A 27,903-nucleotide genomic window follows, 5' to 3' on the forward strand; every position below is an offset into this window, starting at 1 on the left:
GGCAGGATCTTGGCTCACTGCAATCTCCGCCTCCCAGATTCAAGCGATTCTCATGCCTCAGTCTCCCAAGTAGCTGGGATTAGAGGCATGCGCCACCATGCCCGGCTAATTTTTGTATTTTTAGTAGAGATGGGTTTCACTGTGTTGGCCAGGCTGGTTTCGAACTCCTGACCCCAAGTGATCCACCAGCCTCGGCCTCCCAAAGTGCTGGGATTACAGGTGGGAGCCACCACACCGGCCCTCAAAGCCCCTTTATTCAGTGTCTTCAGCTCTGGGGTGAGCCCACATGTATCATGTTCTAAAGATGTTGAAGAGAAAGAGGATCCTAAGAACTCCAGGAGGGGAACTCCAAGCCCTGACTGAAGGTAGTCAGGGTCTCAGCCCTCTAAGTCTCCAGACTGAATTCAGGGATAAAGTGCTTCTCTGTGGCTGGTGCTAGACACAGTAATTTCCCTTATCCTTGGGGACACCTTCCAAGACCCTCCGTGGATGCCTGAAACTGTGGATAGTACTGAACCTGTATATACTATGTTATTTCCTATAGACATATAACTCCGATACAGTTTAATTCATAAATTAAGCACAGTAAGGGATTAACAACAATAACTACGAGTAAAATAGAACAATTATAACAACACGCCAGCTGCACTACTCTTGTGTCTTGGGGCCATTATGAAGTCAAATGATAGTTCCGTGAACACAAGCATGGCGATGCCTCCACAGTCAATCTGATGACCCGGTCGGCTACTAAGTGACTAACCGCAGGGAGTGGTGGAGACGCTGGACAAAGGGATGATTCACGTCCTGGGTGGGACCGAGCGGGACGGTGGGAGATTTCATCAGGCTACTCAGAACAGTGTGCAATTTAAAACCTGTTGATTGTTTACTTCTGGAATTTTCCACTTAATATTTTGGGGCCTTGGGTAACTGAGACCATGGAAAGTGAAAGTGTGGGCAAGGGAGGACCACGATACTATACTTTTTATTCAAAATGCCTTATTGAGGAATGAAAAACAAAACGGAATCACAATATCGATTCAGTGTTGGAATTGCAGTCGGCCCTCCCTATTCGTGGGTTCTGTTTCCACAGGTTCAAACAATCGTAAATCAAAATGTTTGACCAAAAAACAATAAAAATTGACAATACAACAACAAAAATAATACAAATTTTTAAAAAATACAGTATAACAACTGTATATGTGGCATTTACAGTTTATCAGGTATTGTAAGTAGTCTAGAGATTATTTAAAGTACTCGGGGGGATAGGCATAAGTTATATGCAAAAGACTATGCCATTTTATGTCAGGAACTTGAGTGTCCTCCGGTTTTGGTATTTGCAGGGATCCTGGGACCAATCCCTCTCCGATACCAAGTAATGACTGTACTCGGTTTCTAACTAACCAGTCCTTATGTTTTTATAAAGGTGAGTTTAAATGGAAGCTTCTTAGCCCTAATCATCACCAGTTGTTGACATGACCTTTGTATTAGTGAATATGTTGAAAGTAAGATGTAGCTCAAAAACCACTTTCCTCCAGGTTGCCCTGGCTAATATTTAAGCTTGATTTTTGACAAACAGCGTAGATACAAAGCTAGATCTACTTGGTCCCACTACTTCTTAGCAATAAAATCCCATATGGAGATTTGTAACCCCAAGTGTTTCCCTTCTAGAACTGATGTGATTGTGTGATCCGCGCGAATCAGAGTCTGCGGGGGCGAGCTTGGTTCTGGTCCCGCTACAGCAGGACGGAGCTACTGAGGCACGGTCACGGTCATGAGTGCCCTTGGGGAGGTCAGGGAGGGGGCGGAGGGGATACGTACTACTCCATGACCAGGACAATGTCGTTCTTAGACTCGAAGGCATCGTACAGCTGGATGAGGTTCGCGTGGTCCAGCTGGTTCATGACGCTGATCTCGTTCTTCACCTCCTCCTGAGAAGCAGGAAACAGTGCATTAGTGTGGTCAAGATGGGGCGGGGAGGGAGGGGACCACCTCCCACAGGCTGTACCTTGTCCTTCATGCCTCTGGTCTTGATGATTTTGGCTGCCAGCTTCAGACCTGTGGCCGTCTCCTCACACTTGTGAACCTGGCCGAAACGCCCTCTGCCAAAAAGAGGAAGCGGCGTAGCATGAGGCCCTGTGGTCAGCTGCCGAGTGGACAGCGCACAGTGGCCCCAGTATTTCTCCTGCTGAGTCTGGATGAGCAGCCCTCTGAGGAGTTCTTTCAGTAAACTTCTAGAGCAGTATTTGTCAACATGTGGTGTGTGGATCACTTGCATCAGAATCACCTGGGAGCTGTTAAGAAAGCAGGTCTCGGCCGGGCACGGTGGCTCACACCTGTAATCCCAGCACTTTGGGAGGCCGAGGCGGGAGGATCACGAGGTCAGGACCAGTCTGGCCAACATAGTGAAACCCCATCTCTGCTAAAAATACAAATACAAAAAATTAGCCAGATGTGATGGCATGTGTCTGTAGTCCCAGCTACTCGGGAGGCTGAGGCAGGAGAACGGCGTGAACCCAGGAGGCGGAGGTTGCAGTGGGCCGAGATCGCGCCATTGCACTCCAGCCTGGGCGACAGTGCAAGAATCCATCTCAAAAAAAAAAAAAAAGAAGAAAGAAAGAAAGAAAAAAAAAAAGAATCCAGGATTCTGGGCCCTACCCCAGACCTCCTGAGGCAGGAATCCAGGGGTAGGCCCCAGAATCTGCATTTCAGCACATTTCTTGGGTGATTCATATGCACCCTCACATTTGAGAACCACCTTTACAGACAATGCAGAATCCTTCTGAATACATATGAATGTTATGAGCTGGGCTTTGCCAGCATATGAACAAGAGAGCCCACCTTCAGATATATAAAATTATTTTTGGAAACTGCATATGTAACAATACTGCATATACATCCATATAGTCAAGACTGCATATTGCCAAGTCACCTATGAGCTTGAATATAAACACAAGACAGCTTCTTACCTACGTAATCACATACAGATGTGCACACTTGTGAGCAGTTTTAAATTTAATTTGCTTAGTTTGATTTCTTATTTAGTAAAATAAGCTAGAACACGTGTCCCTGCTCTGCAATGGTGGATGTCACAGTAGGGAGTGAGGAACAGCTTCCCTAGCAACACAGTGAACCCGAGGCAAGCCCTATGACAAGGCAGAGGACTTCAGCGATGAAAGTCATGGCAACGCTGGGCAGATGCAGGGGCACTGGCGGCCGCTGCATCCTACTGTGGGGCTGCACACCCAGCACAGAGGCAGATGAATCTTGGAGAATGACACAGGATTACCATAAACGTAGCCACGGCGTGACTTCAATTCCAACCTCTGCTCCAGATAGAGTCTCTATGGGAACACACGGACACAGCCCCAGCCACCTCTTAATTGGTTGTTATGGAAATGGTTTCTCCCCTTCACTAGCAATGGCCGCAGAACCTCCTGAGCCAGCAGTGGTGCCCATCACTGTCTGACTTCCCGGCTCCCTCAACCTTCTGACTCTTTCCCCTGATTTATTGTGCAAGGGCCCTGAAGGTTGAGGCCAACTCCCAGGATTCATGCTGGTTCAACACAGTGATAACCTTATGCTCATTGAACATGGCAAGCAGGGATGATGGATACCCTCAAGGCCACAGGGCAGGAGACGAACTCCCAGGAAAATTCAGGGGCCTGCCCCTGTGGGCAGGGTTTTTGGGATCCAGTGGTCCTTGGCATGTTGCAATATTTCTGCCAAAAGTAAAAGATAAGTTGCTACATCTTGAACCTGCTACCACTTAAAAGGAGGTGCAGCACTTGGTGATGTCTGCATTTTGAAGGCATCCACGCACATTTGATCATGCTCCTCTCACTTATTTGCTGAGTGAATTACGGCTGCCAATTTTGGTGAAGCCCATAACGAGAGCTGACGGGCAGCTGGTCTAGACTGCAGTACCAAAGAGAAGATCCCATGGTGCCCAAACAGACAGAAAGGAAGTTTCAAAGGAGCAATTGACAAACCTTGACCAGAAAAACAGCACAAACCCTGGGAATTCTTTCAAAGCTTCTTCTGCAAATAACTATTCTCGGTTAGAGAAATAGTTGCTGGCTTGCCACTGATGTCCCTGAAGGCCCAAATACCTCAGGCTTCCATGGAGCCAGTTCATGCTGTGGAATTCCTGTTTCTCCCTCAGCCCATCCCCGCAGTCTCATGGGGCATTCTATGAGATCAGCCAGATCAGGAAGGGAAAGTCCAGGTGGTTCCATTCGGCACAGGGCAAAGAAATACGGAGTGGGAAGAGGAGGAAGGGACTTCACAAATATCAAGGACTCCCTGAAGACCACTTGCAGACGCCTGAACTGCAGTAGCGATGCGTGCTTTCCTTGTGTTGGTGAGTACATTTTGTATGTATACGTGCAGATGTTCTGCTTTCCTCTTCCTATTTTACACAGACATGCCGATGGCAGCAAACGTTATAATTTAGACTTTGAGTTACAAGATATCACGGGGGGTTGTGAAAGAAGTAAACGAAGAAGAACACCCTCTCCCCACCCCCAGCAGGAAGCGGGTCCCTGATGGACTTTAATTTTCCTTCTGGTTTTTTTTCTTTTCTTTTTTTTTCTTTTTTTTTGAGACAGAGTCTTACTCTGTCACCAGGCTGGAGTGTAGGGGCCTGATCTCGGCTCACTGCAGCCTCCAACTCCCTGGTTCAAGCGATTCTCCTGCCTCAGCCTCCCGAGTAGCTGGGATTACAGGCATGCGCCACCACGCCCAGCTAATTTTTGTATTTTTAATAGAGACGGGGTTTCACCATGTTGGCCAGGATGGTCTCGAACTCCTGACCTCAAGTGATCTGCCCGCCTCAGTTTCCCAAAGTGCTGGGATTACAGGCGTGAGCCACCGCGCAAGGCCTTTAATCTTCCTTCTTTAGGGAGAATGTGTGTTTAAATGTCCCTAAAATAAGTTATTTGCTGAGCAAAGTAATCAATTGAAATGAATAATAGTAATTAATATAGTAACAACATAAATGAAAAACCAGCAGCAATGACAGAAAGACCTAATACAGGCCACAAAAACTACACGCTGTTGACTCATTTCTATCTTCTGTCTCCTGGAGGCTGCACTATGGCTTTGGACAGCTGGTCAACCTTCTGGTGACTCACAATGGGTTTTTCTTTCTTTTAGACATTACAACATGGGAAGTAAAGCAGATAATAAATGTGGAGTTTAGTCACCACATTAACCTTTCTGGCATCAGTGACAATTTTCAGAAATGGTTACTGTTTCTTAAAATGTTTGTTTCTAATGTTTCTAGTTCTCAGGTCAAGACAGGCAGACATTTACGAAGTCATTTGCACGCTCTCTTCTTTTGTTGAGAGAATATTAACATTCAGCCTTACTCACCCTCCTAGGATTTCTGTCTTGCTCACAGTATAGAAGCTGTTGACCGCTCCTTGCTTGGCTGTCACAATACGATGATCAAATGGGGCCGGAGGAGCCGGGATGTCAACTAGAAGGTGAGAGAAACAGAAGGGCAATCTGTCAAGAAGTCTGACCTCGTTAAGGCAGCAAGCCTGGGCCTCATAGTAAAAATGTGCTCATTTAATAATAAAATACAAGGAGCCATCTGTTTGATTCCTAATGATCCAGGGATATAGATTTCCACTTGAGATTATGAGCTGTGACTCATAAAGGTGATCCTGACACCTCTGAGAAAGAGTGTCAGGGCGGCTCAATGGTTGTCCATACCATCTTCAGGATCACTTTTAGAAATGTCAAAATAGTTGAAAATTTCCAACCCAACACAGTCCAAACAGGTAATACTTCCAAGCCTGAGACCATTCAAATTCAAACATGAGAAATTGTTTGATTCATTTTTAAAATGCATTACTGATATAATCCATTATTTTAATTATATCAGAGACAAAAAAGAAAAATGAAACATTTCTTCATGTTGTTGAAATGCTTGATATTATATATTACTTTCCAAAATGTCTTAGACTTTATTTAAGACACATTTAAGGCACAAAGATGAATTTTTCCTGGCTGGCTGGAAATAAAACACCCAATAAAACCAGGTAAGTGTGTATTCAACAGAGATCAAATTTCTCCCACTTTCTCCCCTTCCACCTTAAGTGTTTAAACGCTCGTCCACATCAGCACCAGCTCTAACATACAGAATTACTCAGGGATATTCCTCCCAGTATTCTTTCACCTTTCCATGACTACTGCTGTTGAAATTGGCTTGCCATGAACCTGCTCATTCTTCGTTAATTCATTTACTAAGCAGCGACTGCATGCATACAATAAGAATACAAAGGGAGGTAAGTAAATAACAGCTTTGCTTTCAAAACACTCTACATTTATTTGACATATGTTTCTTGAGCATTTACCTTGTTCCAGGCACTCTGCCAAGTGTTAATATTTTTAAAAATTCAGATAATATAAATCTCTGGGAATCTGATTTGATATGGACATCACCTCTCAGAGCCTAAATATGCTGAAAACTGAAGTCACCAGAGAAGCATCTTGATAACATTCACTGTTTCAGATTAATAGAGGGAGTTAAATACACAAGCGGCATCGAAATGGCATTATATCTCCTGCAGGCTGTTAGACTAAATGAAATTTAGTCTGTAATGCTTGCTGGAGAAGGTTAAAAAGCCTTAAAAGGCCCATACAAAAGCCATTTCCTACCCAGTGGGGTCAGGCCGTCTTGCCCTCGGGAGGTCTTCATCCCAGCAGACTCCCTGAGTCGGCCCCGGGAGCTCCTCAGCTTGCCTGGCTGCCTGTGTCTTCTGACACGTGTGTTCTTCCCCTGTGCCGACTATGTCTACTCTGCGCCTTTTGCTGTCCTCGTTGACGAGGCGCTCCTCTGCCACTCCACGCTTACTGCTGCCCGGGCACTCTGTCTGGTCAGCATTCCAGAAAATGGATCCTACTGCTGAACTTCCAGGGATTCGTGGGGGTAGAAATGGCCCTTATGCTGCTGACACACCTGGGAAGTAAAGTCCAGTTGCAGCTCTCAAAGTTTCAAGAAGAAAACATTCAGATGGTGGAAATTCTTTAAGAAGGTTTTCTTAAAACAGTGTTTTGGTGACGAGGACGTGAGCTCCGTGATAGAGGTGACCATTTCGGGGCTTGGGGAGGAAATGGAGCAGCACGCTCCCCATCAAGTCTATGGGTGTAGAGAACCAGGGTCCCAGGGAATCTCACCACTGGCCAAATCGTGACCCCAAGTTATTCCACTGGAACTTAACAAAAGCCGTCATTTTATGAATACCTAACTAATTTGATCTTCATTTTTTCACTTCCTTTCCTTAGAGAGAAATTATTAAATTATAGCATGATAAAAGAAGCAATAATCTCTCTGAATCTTTTTTTTTTTTTTTTTTTTTTTTGAGACCGAGTCTCGCTCTGTCGCCCAGGCTGGAGTGCAGTGGCGCGATCTCGGCTCACTGCAAGCTCCGCCTCCCGGATTCAAGCAATTCTCTGCCTCAGCCTCCCGAGTAGCTGGGACTACAGGCGCCCGCCACCACGCCCGGCTAATTTTTTTGTATTTTTAAATAGAGACGGGGTTTCACCGTGTTAGCCAGGATGGTCTCCATCTCCTGACCTCGTGATCCAACTGCCTCAGCCTCCTAAAGTGCTGGGATTACAGGCGTGAGCCACCGCACCCAGCCAATCTCTCTGAATCTTAACGGCAGTGAGACTAAACCTTTATCAGTGGAAGAATTGACCTAATTTCCATTTCTCAGCAGCTCTCGACCTTACTGAACACATCTGGCAGTGTTGAAGTTTCTTTCTTAGCAATCATTAATATTTATGCTTAATTCTTGGAAAATTAAATTTCTCCAAGATGAGGTTTCAGATACATTATTAAAAAATGAACTAAGAATTATGTTTTAAATCCCTAAAAAAGACCACACAAGTGGTTTGATACTTTTGGTTCCAAATAGATACTGTGATATGTGATTACTCATAACTTAGAGTAGTTCATTTTAATTGGCTATAATATTACCTGAATCTATAAGTGAAACTGTGTAGTTGAGAAAGAAAGTCATTCAATAATCTATGTCTTACTTCATCCTCACAATATTTGGGAAAATAGGCAATTTATTATTTATAATGGAGTAGGTAAGCTTTTTCAGATTTAGGTTTTTAACTTACGGATAAATCTAGTCATTATTTAATTCTTGTCCTTAGGAAGGATATGTTCTGTATTGCTAAAAATGAAACTGTTTTACTTCATCTTTAAAAAATACTGATTCCTGTGGGCACTATTAATCATCATCTTTGTCTACCAGTTGGTAGAAAACATAGAAAATAACAAAATGCCTGAAAATATCACAGGCAAGAAGAAAAAATAATGGCTAGAAAATGTGGCCATGAAAAATTCATATAAGCTGGAAAACCAAGTTATAAATCATTGCTTCAAACTCTCTTCATTTATCCTTTCAATAAGGCCTTAAACCGCAATGGCACATAGCTCTAGAGAAAACATTGCTGTGGATACGCAATGCTGTAACCCTACCTTTCGTGAAATTGGTCACCATTAGTTTGATACACGTATTGATTTTTATTTTGACATTGGTCCAGCACTGTCTCATGTGCAGTTGCCAGTTCTCTTTTCTCCTCAGCTTCTTATCCACTAGTATCTTCCTTAGAATGAAACCCGTTTCTCTCTTCTTCAAACACTGGGTGTTCATTTTTATCTGCAGTGTCTTGCTGTTCATTCCCAGCACTATCACTTTCCTGTGTATTCAGGCTCTCTGTGCATGAAATGTCTGTTCCATCTATATTCTCTCTTGGATTTATAGAATTTCTTGGAGCAAAATCTTCTACTTTGTCTTGTCTTTTTGTGTGAAATATGGCAAAACTTCTATGAACTAGAGAGGCATTGGTCTTCTCAGCATTTTTCTTGTTGAGTTTATTAACCTTTTCTTTCTCAGAGGAGAGCTGATTCTTCTGGGTAGATCTCTCTAGAAGCCACCATAGGACACAAAATATTTTAATGGAGAATGCAGGTGATCAGTATAATTTTGGCTTTCTATAATGGCATCTTTATCCAGGTTTCTTTTTATCAGCAGATATAAGCTTTTAAAAGCTAAGTAGAAGGAAATATGACCAATTGGGTTCCAAAAGATTTTCTTGTTTGTAACTAGTAAGACCCAAACACAAGCAAAAAAAAAAAAAGGGGGGGGGGGGCATTTTTTTATAAACATCACTTCTTCCTGCACAGGGCTTTATGAATGTGCAACTTCCTCTGAATAACAACAGGACTTTTATAACGGAACTTTCTTCATCCATAACTATCTACTTTTCTAAAGATGTTACCTGCGAGGGCTGATGTCCTTTTGCTTTTGACGGGCATCCTTTCCGTCAGGTCGGCGTTTGACCACACCTCCTTCGCCTGTGGAGGCACAATTGAGTAATTGAAGTTACATATCACATCTGGGCTTTTCAACCTCAGCACTCCTGACACTTGCGCTGGATGATTCCGTGTGGTGGGGAATGTCACGAGCATTACAGGACAGCAGCATCACTGGCCTCTATCCACCAGATGCCAGTAGCACCCTCCCTCCCAGTTGTGATGACCAAAAAGGTCTCCAGAGATCTATAAATGGGGAGCAAAATCACCCGTCACCCCAGGCTGAAAACTACTATATTATATGATTCAAACATAGAAAAAAGCCCAGTAAAATTAATAGTAATGTAGAGGGCAGAACAGTCTGAATTAATGAAAGCCTGTATAGACTACAGTATCTGAAATGAGCTCACTATTTTCAAAGAAATTCTGTAAAACTGTCATTATGGGAAAAAGCCCATCTTCATGAATAGATGAAAGGATGTTAATAATGTGTGCATCACCCTTGACCTCTGTGTAAGTTGTCTTGATATGGTTGACATATAAATCAAATAGAAATGAGAGGATACATGTGAATGGGCTCTGTAAACCAGAGAGTAGGAGATGAAAGTCAGCTTTATAAATGGAACCTTTACAGTGCTTAGAACAGATGGCCCTTTTCCTAAGTGGATAAACATTCTTCTCACAGTCCTGGAGTATCTGAATTAGTTGAGCAAACCGTTAGCTAATGTACCCCATATAAAAGGGAAACATTAGCCCAATCCACCCAAATTATCACAACTTCTAAAGTTTTGCATTATAAATTAATGACATTGTGTGGATGTCCAAAAAAAGTATTTATTTCCCCTTTGAAACACAACATAATCTGCCTTCAGCTGATTTGCAAGCATGAAACACCATGTAAGTTCAGAGCACAGATATCAAGACAAATTGCAAATGTGCTTTTTTTTTTTTTTTTTTGAGATGGAGTTTCGCTCTTGTTGCCCAGGCTGGAGTGCAATGGCGCAATCTCAGCTCACTGCAACCTCCAACTCCCGGGTTCAGGCGATTCTCCTGCCTCAGCCTCCTGAGTAGCTGGGACTACAGGCATGTACCACCATGCCTGGCTAATTTTTTGTATTTTCAGTAGAGACGGGGTTTTGCCACATTTGCCAGACTGGTCTTGGACTCCTGACCTCAGTTGATCCGCCTGCCCCGGCCTCCCAAAGTGCTGGGATTACAGGTGTGAGCCAACATGTCCGGCTGCAAATGTGCTTTTACACAATGCAGGGGGCAGCTCCATGGATTCAGAGTATTTCCGTTTTTTAGATGGTGAACTTAAAACATAAAGGCATGTTTAGTAAATCTGTGGAAAGCCAAGGCTGGAAGTGAGAGCTTCAGAGTTTCTCTTTAAGTGAAAGTCCAGAGACGGCACTTGCCTACTTTTCCCTCTGCAGGGACAATGGGCTGCCGCCTCTTCAAACAAAGCTGATTGCTCCCTCCTCTGTGCTTGCACAGAACTCAGCACATATCCCCACCCCTGGTGTCCCTTATAACACTTTAAGCCTTTTTTCCTGTCAATTTCCCACTAGACTGTGGACTTCCAGTGGGCAAAAAGACTGGTTCATCTTTGACTCCCTGGTGATTACTTCAGAGACCAGTACGTAGTGATGATGATGATGATGATGGTAGTGGTCATGGTGGTGGTGGTGGTGGTGGCGGTGGTGGTGGTGGTGGTAGTAGTGTTGGTTGTGGTGGTAGTCGTGGTGGTAGTGGTAGTGCTGCTGGTGGTGGTGGTGGTGGTGGTGGTGATGATTGTAGTGGTGATGGCGGTTGTAGTGGTGATGGTGACGGTCATGGTGATGATGGTGGTAGTGGTGACAGCTACCATGTATTGTGCACACACATTATGTACCACTCTTCTAAGCACTTTGTTTAACTGGTTGCTCCTGCTAACAGCCCTTTAAGATAGATACTATTAGCCCCATCGTACAAATGAAGTTGGGTAATTTCCCAAGGTTATAAAGTTTAGAAATGGTAGAGCTAGGATTCTGACCCAGCTGTCTACTTCAGCCAGTGCACCTAACTACCACCCTATACTGTCTTTCTGGGGAAAAAAAAAGATAGAAAGACTATAGCCAAGTTACATGATTCCTATTTATTGAGATCTACTACATAGTTGGCACCACAGGAGATAAGAAAAATGATTAAGAGAGAAGGTCATAAATCAAAAACAAATTAGCAGAGTGAAGAGATAAATATTTGTCGAAAGATTACAATTAACATGGAAGAGAAGCAAAAAAAGGAGAGAATTTAAGTCCAATTTTGAAAGCATATATCCAAATTAGTCGAATAAGACAGTTTAACAAATTGTGTTTAAGGTGTTTTATAACTGTCTTTCAGTTCTTCCCTTTTGAAATGAAAACTTCTGGTGTATCAATAGACATTGTGCTTCTGGGTTTATTCTGTGTGGCATGAATGCAATGATATAAGCATACGTGGATTTAATAATGAAAACTGGTATGTATCAGTCAATTTCTACTCATAAAAGTATATAAAATTGAGCAGCTGGCTGTAAGACTCCATGGAGCACTGATAGATCCACGTTTGCCCCTGAGGCCATCTGAGTATCAGGTGGAAAAGTCCACATGCTAACCCAATATTCTTTGGGTTCGGAGTTGGACTTGACCAACAGGAGAAGCTGTCAGTATTGAGGAATATAAGAAGCCAGCTTCCAAGAGAGGTTGCTTTTTTCTTTAGTAATTATATATCACATATGTTTTTCCATTTAAATAATGTAAGAAGGCCTTTATTCATTGCCAAAGGCTGTTATAGTTTCATTTCCCTATGTAATACTGACATCTAGAGGAACTTTGAACCGAAGAGTTTCCAACAAACAGAAGTTGTATTCTCCTGTCCTTTCCAGGACAGACGCTGTATTTCTCCTTTTCTTTTCAGGACTGCAACCAAAAATATGAAACATTTTTACTTTGTATTTCTAAGTTATGCCTAGAAGTTGCTAAAATAGAAAGCTCAAGTTTGTAGATACACCTTGTTTATTGTCCAAAAATGAAACATGTCTTCTACCGATTAAAGAGCACAGGACCAGTGCTCTTAAGCATTAAGTTTCTGACCCAATCCTGACCATCCCCAGTTAATGGGATGAAAACCATGTCAGTGACTATATTCCTCTGCTGAATTCACATCGATGGCTGGGATGAACCTAAGGACCTCTTTCATGCAAATTCACTTAAAAATATTTCTATATTTGCATATGGATTTCTTTGGAACTATTTACCAATTCCTTTTATAATAATTTATCAGTGGATGTAGAATGACACAGGGAAGAAAGGCTAAGTGGTCCAGATGTCCAAGTATTCAAAACACAGCTTAGCTCTCTCCACTCTGTCTGGCTTCCTAGACTGGTCTCGTAAGTGGGATATACGTACCCAGGGAGTGTCCATAGTAGTCCTTTGGAGGGTATCAAGGACATGCTAGAACTCATTTCAATTTATTCCATTCCTTATGGATTGAATGTATCCCCCCCGACGATATACGCACACAAATTCATATATTAAAATCCTAACCCTCATGGTGATGCTATTAAAAGGTAGGGCCTTCGAAGGTGACTAGGTCATGATTGGAGAGTCCTCATGAATGGGATTAGTGCCCTTATAAGAACCAAAATGAAAGTTTGCTCACTCTTTATGGGGAGAAGCCCACTACACACTAGTAACGGGGCCCTCGCCAGGCCCTGGATCTGCCAGCAGCCTGATTTGGGACTTCTCAGCCCCCAGAACTGTGAGAAATAAATGTTTGTTGTTTAAACCACCCAGTCCAGAATAATTTGCTATAGCAGCCCAAGCTAAGACACCATTCTTTTAACATTTATATTTTACATATGTTTTTAAAAATATATTGATACAATTGGACACATATAAAAGTATCTCTGACATATTAAATGTTATTTATAAAAATAAAAGTGCAGCCAGGCGCAGTGGCTCACACCTGTAATCTCAACACTTTGGGAGGCCGAGGTGGGCAGATCATGTGGTCAGGAGTTTGAGACCAGCCCGGCCAACATAGTGAAACTCCATCTCTACTAAAAATACAAAAATTAGCTGGGCCTGGTGGTGCACACCTGTAGTCCCAGCTATCAGGAGGCTGAGGCAAGAGAATTGCTTGAACCCTGGAGGCGGAGGTTGCCGTGAGTCAAGATTACGCCACTGCACTCCAGCCTTGGCAACAGAGAGAGACTCCGTCTCAAAAATAAAATAAAATGAAATAAAATAAAATAAAATGCATGTAGTGGTTATCAATGTATATAATTATAAATAAATATATCGCGGAGTGCTTTAAAATATTTTACTGATGGCAGCACAAAATCAAAATAATTTGGAGACAATTGTAGATAACACCGTGCTTCACACTCTGATTTTCTGAAGTGTGTTTTGGAGCAGGATCATTCTAATTAGTCGGTTTGAGTGCAAGAACATAATTAGAACTATCAGCTCAATTCTTGCAAACTCTTTTTCTCCTTCTGCAAAGTACTGCTTTTAAGAGTTCAGTATTCATCGCTTGCGTGCCAGTTTTGATTATTTAAGCAATTTCAAGTCAGCACTTTATCCTCTTTTCTCCGTTAACCATTACATTTACTGCCATAGGATCCAGATTTGAACAGCAGGGCGGCATCGGTCCACAGGCGTGTGCCGGCTACCTGGGCATGAGTGCGCTCTCGCCCTGCGTCACAGACCTGTCCCAGTACTACATCAAAACCCTACTTTTCCTGAGAGTGGCGGAATAGCTGAAAGGGAAATTCATTCAACTGAACAACATCGTCTAATCCTTCTTTCATTCCCATTCAATAAAAATCATTTAAAAAATCAATGGTAAAACGGATTTGTCCTTGAAAGAACATAAAGGCTGAGATAAGGGCTGCTCCTCTGGACCTCAACAATGCCACCATCGTTTTCCGTGTTACTGCAGCGTTCTCAATGTGTCTGTCTGCCCGCTGGCATACGGACCCTTCTCTTCCCCTTCGTTTCCCCAGCACCGAACAGAGGGTAAAGTTCTGAAGTGCTTGGTGAAGCAATGCGTGATGAAGAAAACAGTGCTTTCTGGAATGGCACGTTCACTGTGAGAACACTCTGTCATCAGGCTGCACCCCTGAAAAGCCAGGCTGCCCTGGGGGCCATCTCAGATGCATCCCTGCCACGGTGGCTCATATCCACAGCCCTGAATTTACATAGCCGATGGCCAGCAATATCAACGGCCATGCATTTTGGGATTACAGTTGCTGCAGAAAATTGTGTTCATAACATAACATATAGAGAATTCCTGGTTCTTTTTAAAACTGTTGCAAACAGGCCAGATAGAAGAATGGAGGAGAACAAATATTTGTAATAATTTGTAGCTGTGACCCACAGCCTGGACTCTGATGGTGGCAGGTAGATGTTAGAGGTCGGCCACCCTGTCCTACAGCTCTGTCCTCTACTGCCAGGCTCAAGTGTTGGTCTTTTCAAACCTCCTCAGCTCTGAACGTATCACCCACATGGCCTTTCTACAACAAGGGGGTTATCAGGATAAGAAAACTCGGAAGTGTATTTAAATTCTAAAAGTTCAGTGTGAAAAAGGAATAGCCTAATGGAATAAATCTGACCAGTCCTGGGCTCCGCAGAGTCTTTTCTTGCTAGCAGAGGACGCTGGGTCATGTACCCTGAATAACAGTTTTGCATATTACTGTTTGTGGAAATGCCAAGATGAACAATTTTTGGCCATTTTACCTAAGTTCTAGAAATATCTAAACAAAAGTATAACAATTTATAATGACTTTATTAAACTTGGATTAGATTCCTAATGGGGGAGAGAACAATAAATAAATCCTACAAGAATACAAAGAGATGAATTTTCAGAAGAAATATGAAAACATTTTCTTGCCTGAGCATAGAAGATACTTCTAGAGATTGTTTGTAAAGCAAATCTATTTCCCTTCAACCTCAGCACACACTCAAACTCTCCATGTATGAAGCGAGAAAACCCTGAAGTCCTGGGTGATAAAAGGAATTCTCACTAAGCAAAGCCTGTTTCATGGTCTGTGGGGACTGGCATGGCTCAAGGCAGGACAGAAACTGACTGACCAAATCCAGAAAGGGAAAGTGTTCACCTGTTCTCAGAACTCAGTAAGTGGATCCTCCCCAGGCTGCTGATGACATCAGGTGGAGTCAGTCACCTGAGAAAATAACCCCGCCAGGAAAATTAAAGCCTTTCCATGCACCCACAATTATGTGCACAGTGCTTCACTCGGAAGCCAAGTAAATGGGACCCTCCAAGTACATAGACCAAGAAAGAGCCTGAAGTTAAAGGTGTGGATTTAGGAAAGCCTAACTGGATCATCCACTGAATGAAGATGCACGGATAATTTTACTTTATTTTATTATAATATACATTGAGCTGTATCATAAGAGAAAGCATGCTACCACTTTTCTTTTCTTTTCTTTTTTTTTTTTTTTTTTTTTTGATATGGAGTCTCTCTCTGTCGCCCAGGCTGGAGTGCAGTGGCGCAATCTCGGTTCCCTGCAACCTCCATCTCCCGAGTTCAAGCAATTCTCTGCCTCAGCTTCTCCAGTAGCTGGGATTACAGGTGCCCCCTACCACACCTGGCTAATTTTTTTTTTTTTGTATTTTTAGTAGAGACAGGGTTTCACCATCTTGGCCAGGCTGGTCTTGAACTCCTGACCTCGTGATCCACCTGCCTCGGCCTCCCAAAGTGCTGGGATTACAGCTGTCAGCCACCATGCCCAGCTGCTACCATATTTAACAGCCTCTGCTAGCAAGAAAAGACCGTGTGGAGCCCAGGATGGTCAAATTTACTCCATCAGGCTATTCCTTATTGACATCAAAACTTTTTATAAATATACTTCCAAGTTTTCTTATCCTGATAACTCCCTTGTTGTAGAAAGGGTTATATGTTCGGAGCTGAGGAGGTTTGAAAAGATCAGCGCTTGAGCCTGGTGGTAGAGGACAGAACTGTAAGATGGGGTGGCCAACCCCTAACATCTACTGGCCACCATGGGGGTCCAGGCTGTGGGTCACAGCTACAAATTATTACAAATATTCTCTCTCCTCCATTCTTCTATCCAGCCTGTCTGTGTAAATTTTAAAAACAACCACTTAAAATGAACAAATTAAGAATCTTCACCTACCTATGTGGCCACAGTGAGTAGTTCGATAACACAGATTTTATTTTCCCCCATCTTATACCCATTGGATGTGCTGACACCTTATAATGAGTCTGATATTGTTATTTTCTTCCCACTGCCACCTTACCTGTCCTCCCCACAGAGAAAACGCTGAGTCCTCTGACTTGAGGCCGCTCTTTCTTTCCCTCTCAAACTCGCATTGCTCACCCTGCCGCCCCACCACCCCACCTGTTTTTGTTATCCAAACTGTTCTAAGTTCTAATATGTGGCTCTCAACCATCTGGGGATGTTGGACACTATTAATGCCTGGGTCCTCCCCTGAAGATTCTGATAAACTGGGTCTTGAGTGGGGCCAGAACACCAGTGTTTTTTAACCCACCCACACCCCAGGGATTGTAAAGTACTAAAAGGGAGGGGACCCACTTCCTCTGTCGCCTCCGGTCACTCTGGCCTTTGTTCTGAGGCCTTCTTACCAGCCAGGCTCCCTCTGGTCACAGATTGGAGCAATTATAACAACACTGGAATCCCTCTTCCTCCCCCCGATAAGCAAGGTCTTTGATCCTATCCAGGATGGACTATCTAGCAAACCACTGCCTCCTCCTTATCCTCCACCCAGGGATACGTGTGTGGAAATGAGGCCAAGGTAAACGGCCCTGAGACCCATAAAACCTCCCTCCAAAAATGATCTATGGGGCATCCTGGGAGGGCAACAAATAAAAAATCCAACGTTGCCAACCATGCCTCTGGTCCTCTGCCTGAAAGCTTTCTGCCTTGCTTCTTGGCCAAAATTTAGTAATTGAAAGTGATTTAATTCCTCCATTAAAATGGAGGTAAGCAGAAGAGAGGAGGACTCAGGCTGAGGTGGAGAAATATCACCTTTCAGGGCATAGAAGTATTTATAGCACTTTGCGTAAAAGTATATCTAAAAACTATACATCAAGGGATGCTTTGCCTTCTTGGGATTCCGTCACCAGAATAGCACCTGAGCACTTCAAAAACTGTGCAGTGAGGCTACTAAGAAATTGAGAGCGTGAGTGCATGTGTGTGTCAACCGACTTCAAATGGAATCACAGCTCCTCATGTTCATTTCATTAAAATGAGTCTTACTTTGTAAAATTTCCCTTTCATAACGCAAGTCCAAACCTTGGAATGTTTTCGCATGAAGTTTACAGTGTTTCTTCATCACCCAATAAAACTCTTTGATTTCTTCCCGCCGCAGACAGTTTTAAGAGCCTTCATTTCACATGGGGTTCTCGGTATGCTTTTTAATTTTTATTTTAAGATCATTTTTTATCACTTCATCTCCTGTCTCCCACTCTGAGCCTAAGTTCAGTTCGGCCTCCCCGAGCCCCACTGCCTCCCTGCAGTGGGGCACGCCGGCCGAGGCTCAGAGGGGCTTGGTGTTTCCTAATGTGAGGCGAGGTGTGGTCCCCTGGACTGCAGGAATATTTAGAGATCTGCGCTTAGACTCAAGGAGTAAAATGCTTAACCTCCTAATGGTTTACCTTTCTGCATCTTCCCCTACACAGGAAACACACACTGCAAAGCAAAGTGACTTTTGAAAAGCTACCTCTGAAAAGCAAAGAGATACTACAAAGCTCTTCAAAAATGTCTCTGAATGAATGAATTTGTCTGTAATACAAACTGCGTAGGTAAAAAACTAATCAGTTATGACTGTCCCCAACATTTAGTCGCCTGGTCCAGTCTATGCAAAGTGGGCTGGTGAATCCGCAGCAGCAGCATCTCCTGGGAACCTGCTAGCAATGCAGAACCTCAGAACCTCAGCCTCTCCCCACCACCCACCCAATCAAAATCTGCTCTTTAACCAATGGCCAGGTGGTTCCCATACATGTTAGAATTTCAGAAGCGTTGACCTAGTTAATATACGTCATGAATTGGTGCGAAGAATCATTTTACAAAATATGTGTCCCAGCCTCGTGTGTCTATTTACATCTTGCCTCCATCCACAAGGCGTCTGAAGAGCTAATCTCGTACTTGGGTAAACTCAGAGGGAAGCCAGTGAGGAGCGGGGAGGGAGTCGAGACAGCATTCACTGGGGGCCGCATGCCGCTGGCCTTGCTGGCAGCAGTTGGTGGAGACCCAGCACTGTGTGGAACATCCGTGAGCTGCTCAGGAGGCCCAGGACTCCCGCTGGAGCTCAGGGAAGAGCATGCATAACTAGGTATCATGTGCCTGGAACTTTCCACTAATCTCTGGGGTTGACAGATTGCCCAAACTCAGGCCTCAGAGAAGAGCAACATTAAGGCCCAAAGACAGGATGAAAACCAAGGCAAACCAAGCTCTGGAGAATTAGGAATGTATTCTGATGGGCCCCAAAATGCAAATTAGGCAGTCAGGATTAATGCAAAGAATACAGTTAGAATTAATACAAGTGCTGTAACCTGGCTACAATAAAGGTGACTATCAACTTGAAAGAAAATAAAAGTATTGTGTCTAGCATAGTTCTTACAAATCAAAATTTAGAGGTTGAAGGGTGGGGTGGGGAAGGAAGGCGGAAAGATGAGCTGTTGATTAAAGGGTACAAAGTCTCAGACTGGAGGGATAAGTTTTAGTGAACTATTGCACGGCTTGGTGACCACAGTTGTTAATAACATACTGTACATATTTAAAAATTGCTAAAGGAATAGATTTTTAACATCCTCACCACAAAACAGTGTTAAGTTGGGGAGGTGGTAGATGTGTGAATTAGCTTGATTGACCCTTTCTACAATGTATACATAGATCAAAACTTCACACCGTGCCCCAGGAATATACACAACTGTTATTTGTCAATTAGAAATAAATTAATTAAAAATGTTAAGTACACAGCTAGTACATACCCTCCAACACCCCCGATCGGTCTGTGTTTTACTCCTAAGATATGCTTAAGCCCTCAATATATGAAGAACATGAACACCAAGCTGAACTCTTCGGGTTCTTGTCTCATTGTCCTTTGTTTGATTGTGGACGTGGGGGAAATATTCAGCTGGTATGCTGGTACCATCCTAGTTATTAAAACATGGAAATACCTCCATGCTGGCTGGTAAATAGGGGATTTTCTGAGACTCCCAGGAGCTCCTCCAACCTCCCGACCTCGCCTCCTCTCAGCCTCAGGACCATCCTAAGACCAGTAACTATAGGGTCAATATCTAGCATGGAGGGGGCCCCCAGGACCCTGGTCCAATGCAGTACACCTTGATACGTGAGCAACTGTGGACTCCCAGTTATTAGTGTACAGACCAGGGAAAAAGAGTATCATATGAAGGCATGTGGCCACAACAACAGGCTGTTGGCCATGTAATATTTAATATTTAAATAAGAAGTTTTTAAAAATATTTACGCTATCCCTGCAAGTTCATTATTAGGTACGGAATCAAAGTGTGCTTTGAAAGTCAAGGAGAGAGCAATGGACAACAGTGAAGAGAGGTAAAAGAGTTACTACCAGCAATGCCTTTACCTACCTTAGGCCCTGGGACGGTGGCCCTGAAATTATTAAAGTTCCTTCCCCAGAAATTCTTAATCTATGGGTCTGGGTTGAAGCCCAAGGACATTTTTCATGAGCTCTGGGAGTGATTCTGATGCACATGGTCCAGTGACCCTACTTTGAGAAAACAGGTAGAACTCCTACCCATTATTCAAGACCCAATTCAGGAAGGTTTCCCTTTGTGAATTCTTTTTTTTTTTTTTTTTTTTTTTTGAGACGGAGTCTTGCTGTGTCGCCAGGCTGGAGTGCAGTAGCACGATTTCGGCTCACTGCAAACTCCGCCTCCGGGGTTCAAGCGATTCTCCTGCCTCAGCCTCCCAAGTAGCTGGGACTATAGGCGTGTGCCACCACGCCCACCTAATTTTTGTATTTTTAGTAGCGATGGGGTTTCACCATGCTGGCCAGGATGGTCTCCATCTCTTGACCTCGTGATCTGCCTGCCTCGGCCTCCCAAAGTGCTGGGATTACAGGCGAATTCTTTCTTAAACACTCCCCTCCCATATGTTCTACCTAAAGAGGAGTCCACCTTCTCTCTGCCTCTGTTGGCCACACATCTTCGTGGATTTATCACACTGTGTTGAATGATTTGTTTGCATTTCTGACTCCCTCAAGGCATCTCAGTATCTCTAGAATCTAACTCAGTGTCAGCTCATGACAAACACTGATTGATTGACTGATTTGTTGATTAGAAGGTCGGGTTGGGGGAACTGATGCCAGGCTGTATTTACTGATCATCTCAACCACCTGTATGAAGATTTTTGTCAAGGGCTGCCATTACATGCCCTTTATTACATCCTCCTCAGCATCACACTTTGATGTCCAGCTCCCAGACTCCTGTGGTACCTACAAGTCCCACGTCCATGCAGCGCAATCTGTTGTCCTGGACCTCTGGAAGAAAAGCTAAGTCTTCTCAGACCTTTGTAGAAATTCAAATGTTTGTGTCACCAGCAGCATCTGAAACTCTATCCTCAGTATGGTTTTTGAAGTAATTTACCATTTGATCACCTTCTCAAATTTCTTAGACCTACTAAAAATCAGAACATGTACTATAAACATTCATTTGCTTAGTGTATATATTTAAGATCTATTATTCATATTTCTGCATTGGCCGTAACTTCTTTAGCATGCTTTAACATGTTTGCCCAGAGAGATACTTCATGAATACTTTTGATCATGGGAAATGAGGTTAGAGTTAGGGATTGTTGCTGCCACATTTTACTTTATTATGATTATGGAAACTAATTTTTCCAGAAGGCAAGAGCAGGGAGTAGCTCTTTCCTTTGAAATGTCTGGTTAAATTTCTTTGCACATCTCCTAGCCCAACATCAAATCAAGTGCTAAATAATGTCTTTGCATTTTACTATTAAAGTCCTTTACAATATATTTCTAATGGCAACTAAGTAGCCAGTCCAATTATACATCATATCCATCACTCTAATGTCCCCTCAGCTTTAAAGTTCTAGGATGTCACAGGAGCTAGAAGAAAGCTTAGCACAGCGAAGGAGCATCCTCAGAAACTTTATATGGTTGCAAGACACCGATTCTCGGGTGCTTTTCCAAATATCTCCACCCTTGGAATCTGTCTTCTGTTGTGATTATGATTTAGTGGTAACCAGATTGCTAAGCAAAAATGTCTTTATAACAGATCGCAGAAGAAAGCAAGATGCTTGTTTGGGTGGCTGTGTGCTTCTTATTGATTTATTTAGTGTTTTTAGTTCTTCCCCATTTCTCAGCAGGTGAGGCCTTCACTTGGGTTCAGTTCTTAGGTTCTCCTCACTGCATTAGGAACTGTCAACATGGAAATCGTTCTACTGAGGACTTTCTCAACAAAGTTTCCCATTCCCCTTTCTACAAAGGGAAGGGAGGGTGATGGGAGTAGTCTCAAGGTTCTTCTCAAGTTTCTTCTCAAGCATTGCTTGGAGGTAGTAATGAGTGAAGCGGGATGGGGGTATACAGAGTCTGAGTTTGTAACACATGCCCCTCCAGGTCCTTTTCAAATTCCTGGTCCCAGTCATCCATGGCAATGAGCCTGTGTTCCCTGTTTAAGCAGGGAGCTTGATTTGCTGATTCAAATAAGAATAACAATCTCTTATTCTCCAAGGCAGGAAATTGCTGTTTTGGTGAATGAAACCAAAACAAATCCAAAAAGCAGCACTTTTTGTTGTTGTGTAAATCAGCCATTTATTTTCCATGTTGGCTGAAGGCAGAACAAGAAGAAATCTGAAAAAACAACTTAGATTTAACATCACATTTAAATTTTATATTACAAAGAAATTACGGGAATGGAAGGAGTTTGCCTCCCAGTCCATTGGGTTAGAAAGGTAACTGTTTTGTATTCCCAACCATACAATTTACCACAAAAGAACATAGTATTTTAGAAGCTCAAAATAAGACAAAGAAAGGGAAAATTTCTCAAATTATGTAATCCATTTGAATTCGGGGGAAAAAAAAAAAAAACCTTAAAGAGCATTGTAGCCCAATCAGCTCAACTTGAAATGAGATTCTACCCAATTTCACCTAGTTACAGGAAATTTTAATAATGTTTAAAATGTTTTTGCCAAAAGGGATGACCGTCGATAACACTGAATAATATTGATGATCTTTTCCCACACTTTCATCTTTAAAAATGTCATAGGACATTGCAATATATGATCTTTTCTCTCATTAAACATCCAGCCATCACAATGCATTTTTCAAAGACACACAGCTCTGAATATTCTATCTGTTATTGTATACTGTTTTCTGTGATGTTTAGAAGAGTAGGCAACTATAGATTAATTTGTGTTAGGTATTTGTATAAGCATAAGAATTAATTTATGTTTTGGTATCAGGTCGCTATAGTGAGAAGCACGTTATTCGTCACTCTAAAGTGACTTTTTTTTTTTCCAGAAAAAAAACCCCACAAAAGAACAAAAGGACATTTTTGGAGGTGATGGATAAGTTTAGTAACTTGATGGTGGTGATGGTATCACAGGTGTATGCATTTGTCCAAACTCATCAAAACGTGTATATTAAATACGTGTAATTTTTTGTATATAAATTTATACCTCAGTGAAGCTTTTTTTAATATAGATATAATAATGGACAAGATTATGAAAACTGTATTAGCACCTGTGGTATCGAAAGAGAAACTTTAGCTTTGGACTACACAGCGTGTGGGAGCCAGGAGGGGCTGGCTTACTTCCTTGATTGGCAGAGGGCCCCACTTGAAATTCTTCGAGGAGGAGAGAGGTACAGTATCACCCAGGGCGTGCATTTCCATAGGAAGCCACAGCAATGCAGACTGGCTCTTCCTCCTTCACGGAGAACATGCTAAACTACACTCAGAGCAGTAATAAGTAAATCAATGCCTACGACGAGGTGACAGCTGGCCTCTGCAGCAGAAACACATGATCACAGATGGAAAGCTCAATTATGGGTATTCCAAGAACAGAATTAAAGTCTGTTTTCAGTTAGAAGCCCCATATAAAATGGGGCTCCATCTGTATTTACTACATGCAGCTGCGTCTTTCTCAAAGTGCTTAATGAACTTTTTCTTCTTTGTGAACGTCCACTTGCACATAAAGGTAGCAACCTGAAGTAAATATCACAGGAACATACCTGCACAAAGCAACACGGGACAGTATACGTTTTTCTTCCTCTGTTAACTGAGAGACATTACATACTCCATACTCAGGTCCTAAGCTATTTCAACCAACTGCAGAAAATAGATCTAAACTGTGAAATAAAAAAAACTGCTTTAAGAATAGTAACTTTTTCCAACTATTATGGCCATATCTCATTATTTTCATGTATTAAAATTTAGTCCACAGTATAAATATACTTGAATTTCACATTTAATGAGATCAGTTCAATTTGGCATTTAACAATCACTGTAAAATTTTTCATTTTGATTTAATTCAGTTATACAGCAATATATTTTCAAACCGATCTCATTATTGGTGGCGCACATTTACACGCACACACAACTTACTACAGCAACATCAGTCAAATCGCAACATGAAAAGTTCGCATGCTATTACTTTGCTGTTGTTCATTTTCTATTCACCCCCACAAAATTAATCATACTGGCATGAACTTCTCCTAATAGAGAAGTAGTGTTATTTAAAATAAGTAAGTTCAGTTCCCAGGTAGATGCTATAAAAAGTGTTAAGCACATTTTATGAATTCGACTTTCAGTTAGTATCACCCCCAAATTTTTCTCCACTAAAAGTTGTGACAATAAATGTCAAAGTCAAATGTGTTTTTTCTTTTGAATTTTAAAGAAAACGAACCAAATAAGGATTACAACACCTAAGAAAATCTGCATTCTATAAAATTGAGACTTCAGATGCAAAAAAAATCAACAAATCAAAATCCTAAAATCTACTTTTTTTCAAGTGATTAAGTAACTAAGACTAGTTTGTTATAAAATATGGATATGTATTTTTAGTGAAATAGCATACCATTCATAAGCATCATATTTTTATTAAAATATTGCTCCCATCAATACTCATTTAACCATATTCACATTCACAGAGTGTATATAATCTTTTCCCCTGGATGATTTAATATCTTTATTAAAACTCAAAAATAGAAATTTTGATGGTATTAATCTCAACCTTATATGGAAACACACTTTCTCAAAACAATGTTTTATTTTAATAATTAATAATGTTAAAGTCAGTTTCATTACTAAGTTCAAGTAATAATCAAAGAACACCAACTCCAAAATAAAAGTTGGGAAAGTTGACACTGAATCTACAAACATATTCATACTCAGAAATAAAAATGTGTGCTTCTGAGTACTATTCCCTGATGAAAACCTCAGTTTTAAAAATTTGCCTTTGAGCATTACATTTTGTTACATTCTCCTCTACTGGGTTTGGGAATGATTTTTCAGAGAATACCAAAGTGCTGATCTTTGTTCATCAAAGTTCATCTTCACAGATTTGCCATACAATGTAACCTTCATCATCATTTTGGCTATGGGAGAAAAAAAAATCGTGGCTCACCTTTCCATTTCCTCTGCTAACAAAGTAGAGAAATTATCCAATCTCAAAAAACTATATTTACTTTGACTTAAACTGTTAGTCTCAGGCAGCCCCAAAGTAAATCGGCTATTCTAGTATGCTTAGGGATTCTGGCAGCTCTCAACTCTCACAAAGGTTGTTGTTTTGGTTACACCCAGGACTATATGTTCTAGTCTACTTAATCTTTTGGCCTATCACTTTGTACTCTGACTCATAACTAAAAGTCCTAGTTCCCATGAAGAAACATCGTTTCTTCAAGGCAGAAGTCAACATTATAGGAAAGCCTGGGTTCATCTTCTGCCTTTTGCGTCTCCGTATATTCTCTCATAGCCTTGAACACAGTATCTGATTTCTTTCTAAATAAGCTACTATTTTTAAAATTTGAAAAAGTTTAACCTCCCTTCTCAAGCCATGTACCTATAAAATTTCAGATTGTCCCCATTCTTTTAGAAGATATTTTGCCTTCTTCAGCATGATAATAACAGAATGATCATGGTTGCTATGGCCTTTATCCTGTTAGTGGTACTCATCATTTATGTTTAATCAGAACAACTCACTGCTATTTGACATTTCTTCCCACTTTGGCCATCATAACCCTCTATCGGTCATCTCATCTACTGTCTACTAGTCATCTATGAACAGTGAACTGAGATTTTTTCCTCTTGGAAAACTCATGAGCCCTTTCTATTCAACTCTGCACCAATCATTCCAAAATTCGGTCTTTATTTCTATCACACAACGATGAGCAGATCTTAACATCTGGTCATGCTGTAAGGATCTCAAACTTTACATATCAAAAAGAAAACATCATTTTACATCAACATCTTAACACTCCATATTAGCTTGCCTTCCCGTTGTTTCAGTTTCTGTCAGTGGTGCCATGAGACTTGCGTCTTACTTGTGGATCTGCCCGTGAGGCATGGTGTCCCACTCAAAGCCAGACACAGACAGATCTGTGCCTTGCACCTTCCCACTGGGCATAGCTCACAAAGGAGGTTCACCACCTTAGAATTCAGGGCCACAGCAAGCCCCAGGACTGAGGTTCATGAATGGCACCAGGAATTCAACAAACAAGCAAGTACAGCACATGGCAACCCAGAGAAACGCTGTTTGCAATTCCATTTGAACTAGTGTTCTGCATGTTTTTCTTTGGCAACCTATGTGATTCCAACATTCAGTCACAGATTGAATTGAGTTGAGAACAATTGCCCTAGGGTTAGCTTGCTAATGTACGATCTCTCTAATTTGTAAAGCTTGTGCTAAATGGAAAGTGAATTCTGTAGCCCCAGCCAAGATTTCCCTTTCAGGTTTGGTTAATGATGGTTTAATTCACCAAACTTTAAGAGTAGGTGTTGGGAGGTGCTAGGATTTGACAGCAGAGAAATAAACCCAAAATACTGTCTCTGTCCCCAAGAAACTAACAGTCAGGAGCTGAAATAAAATAAAATCTTCCATACTTGAATATATATTTTATTAAAACAAGAAATCATTTCTTTAAAATATAAAAATATTTAAGTAGTAATTGGCTATGTTGACATTTCTACTTATGAGAGATGTCCATTTGGAATAAAACATAAATAAAACCCTTTTACATGGAGGCATCAAAAATATATTCTTAAAAATTAATAGCTTTTAAGTACTAATATAAACCTTCTCTCACTTGTAAGTTTTCTGACATTGAATGCTGCTTCCGGTTTTCAATGATGCCTCACTCCTGCAGGCTGCGTTGAATAAACATAGAAATTGATCCCCCAACATTGGTATTAAAGCTCTCAAGCCATGTGGTTCCTTAGGAGATTGAAATAGGCCCAGTTGTCCCACAGAACTGATGTTCATAGTGTCTTATTAGAAATTTACAGCCCCCACTCCCTCCCCAAGTCTTAAAACTTAAAAAAGTTACATTTTTCTTCTCTGAGTTCCTTTCTCAGGAAACCAACCATCAGGTCTCCCAGACAGTATCAAAGAACTAAAACTCACCAGGTCACCACATCTGGACAATGAAATGCCAGACTCCTTATCCATCATGATTGCTTAAACAACTACCTCCTTTCTGTTGACCAGCTCTGCTTCCTTACCCCTCCCTAATTCCTGTTTTACATTTCTTCACTGCTATAAAAACCCCTAATTTCAGCTGGTTGAGGAGATGGATTTGAAACAGATCTCCCATCTCCTTGGCTGCAGCACCCAAATAAAGCCTTCTTCCCTGGCAAGACTCAAAATCTCAGTGACAGGCTTTCTGTGCTGCAAGAAACAAGACCTAGACCAAACCCCTGGTGTTCCAGCAATAAAATTAGACACATGGCTTTCAGTGTTCTTTAAAGTTGGTGTTTAAAAGCCTGAACAGGATGAAGGGCTGTGTCATAGCACAGACTGTCTTACAGTAGCTTATACTATCACCAATAATTTGTTATCAGCAATGTCCGAGGTAATAAAATTTGCCAGCCTTTCTTTTTTCAAATCAGTGGTTTCAAGTTTATTCCTTATAATAACATTTCTTGCACTCACTTGTCTCCAGGAGTGTTTTCCTGAGTGGGAGACACAGGGGAGGAACTGTGGCCATTCTGCTGGCTTACGCATAACCACACACAGCTGTGTACATGAGACCAGGGTGGGAACATCCTCCTCCGTGTGTGCCACAACAGAAAATGGCAAGAACTGCTGCTCAGGTTCATATCAGTCCATTAATTAACACGTATCAGTGCCACAGTTTCACCCAGCTGTTGTTATCCAGTTTCCATGCCTCTGAATTTCCCACAAGGACATGGTAAGAAACTCAATTGCAGAAATTAATCTAATCATGGTATTACCATCAACAACTAGTTTAGTAACCATGGAGAAAAGGAAGTAAGATGACTTTAGCATGATATTTTCTTAATGAACTCAAGTTACAAA

The 27,903-nt window shown here is 41.8% G+C and overlaps 1 protein-coding gene across 5 annotated transcripts in view; it reads right to left on the reverse strand.

The window, feature by feature from the left end:
- MYLK4 (myosin light chain kinase family member 4) overlaps positions 1 to 27,903 on the reverse strand; it is a 106,740-nt gene that overhangs the window by 19,841 nt on the left and 58,996 nt on the right. For all 5 annotated transcript variants that reach the window (XR_926185.4, NM_001347872.2, XM_005249078.5 and 2 more), the window contains 4 exons: positions 9,307 to 9,382; positions 5,374 to 5,479; positions 2,006 to 2,099; positions 1,819 to 1,928 (listed from right to left, as the gene is read on the reverse strand). Coding sequence is in view for 4 of the 5 variants with exons in the window: in NM_001347872.2 (NP_001334801.1) it covers positions 1,819 to 1,928; positions 2,006 to 2,099; positions 5,374 to 5,479; positions 9,307 to 9,382 (386 nt within the window). In the remaining variant the exon portion in view is untranslated. The remainder of the gene's footprint in view (positions 1 to 1,818; positions 1,929 to 2,005; positions 2,100 to 5,373; positions 5,480 to 9,306; positions 9,383 to 27,903) is intronic.

The sequence above is a fragment of the Homo sapiens genome, chromosome 6, assembly GCF_000001405.40.
Source record: "Homo sapiens chromosome 6, GRCh38.p14 Primary Assembly".
Lineage (NCBI taxonomy): Eukaryota > Metazoa > Chordata > Mammalia > Primates > Hominidae > Homo > Homo sapiens.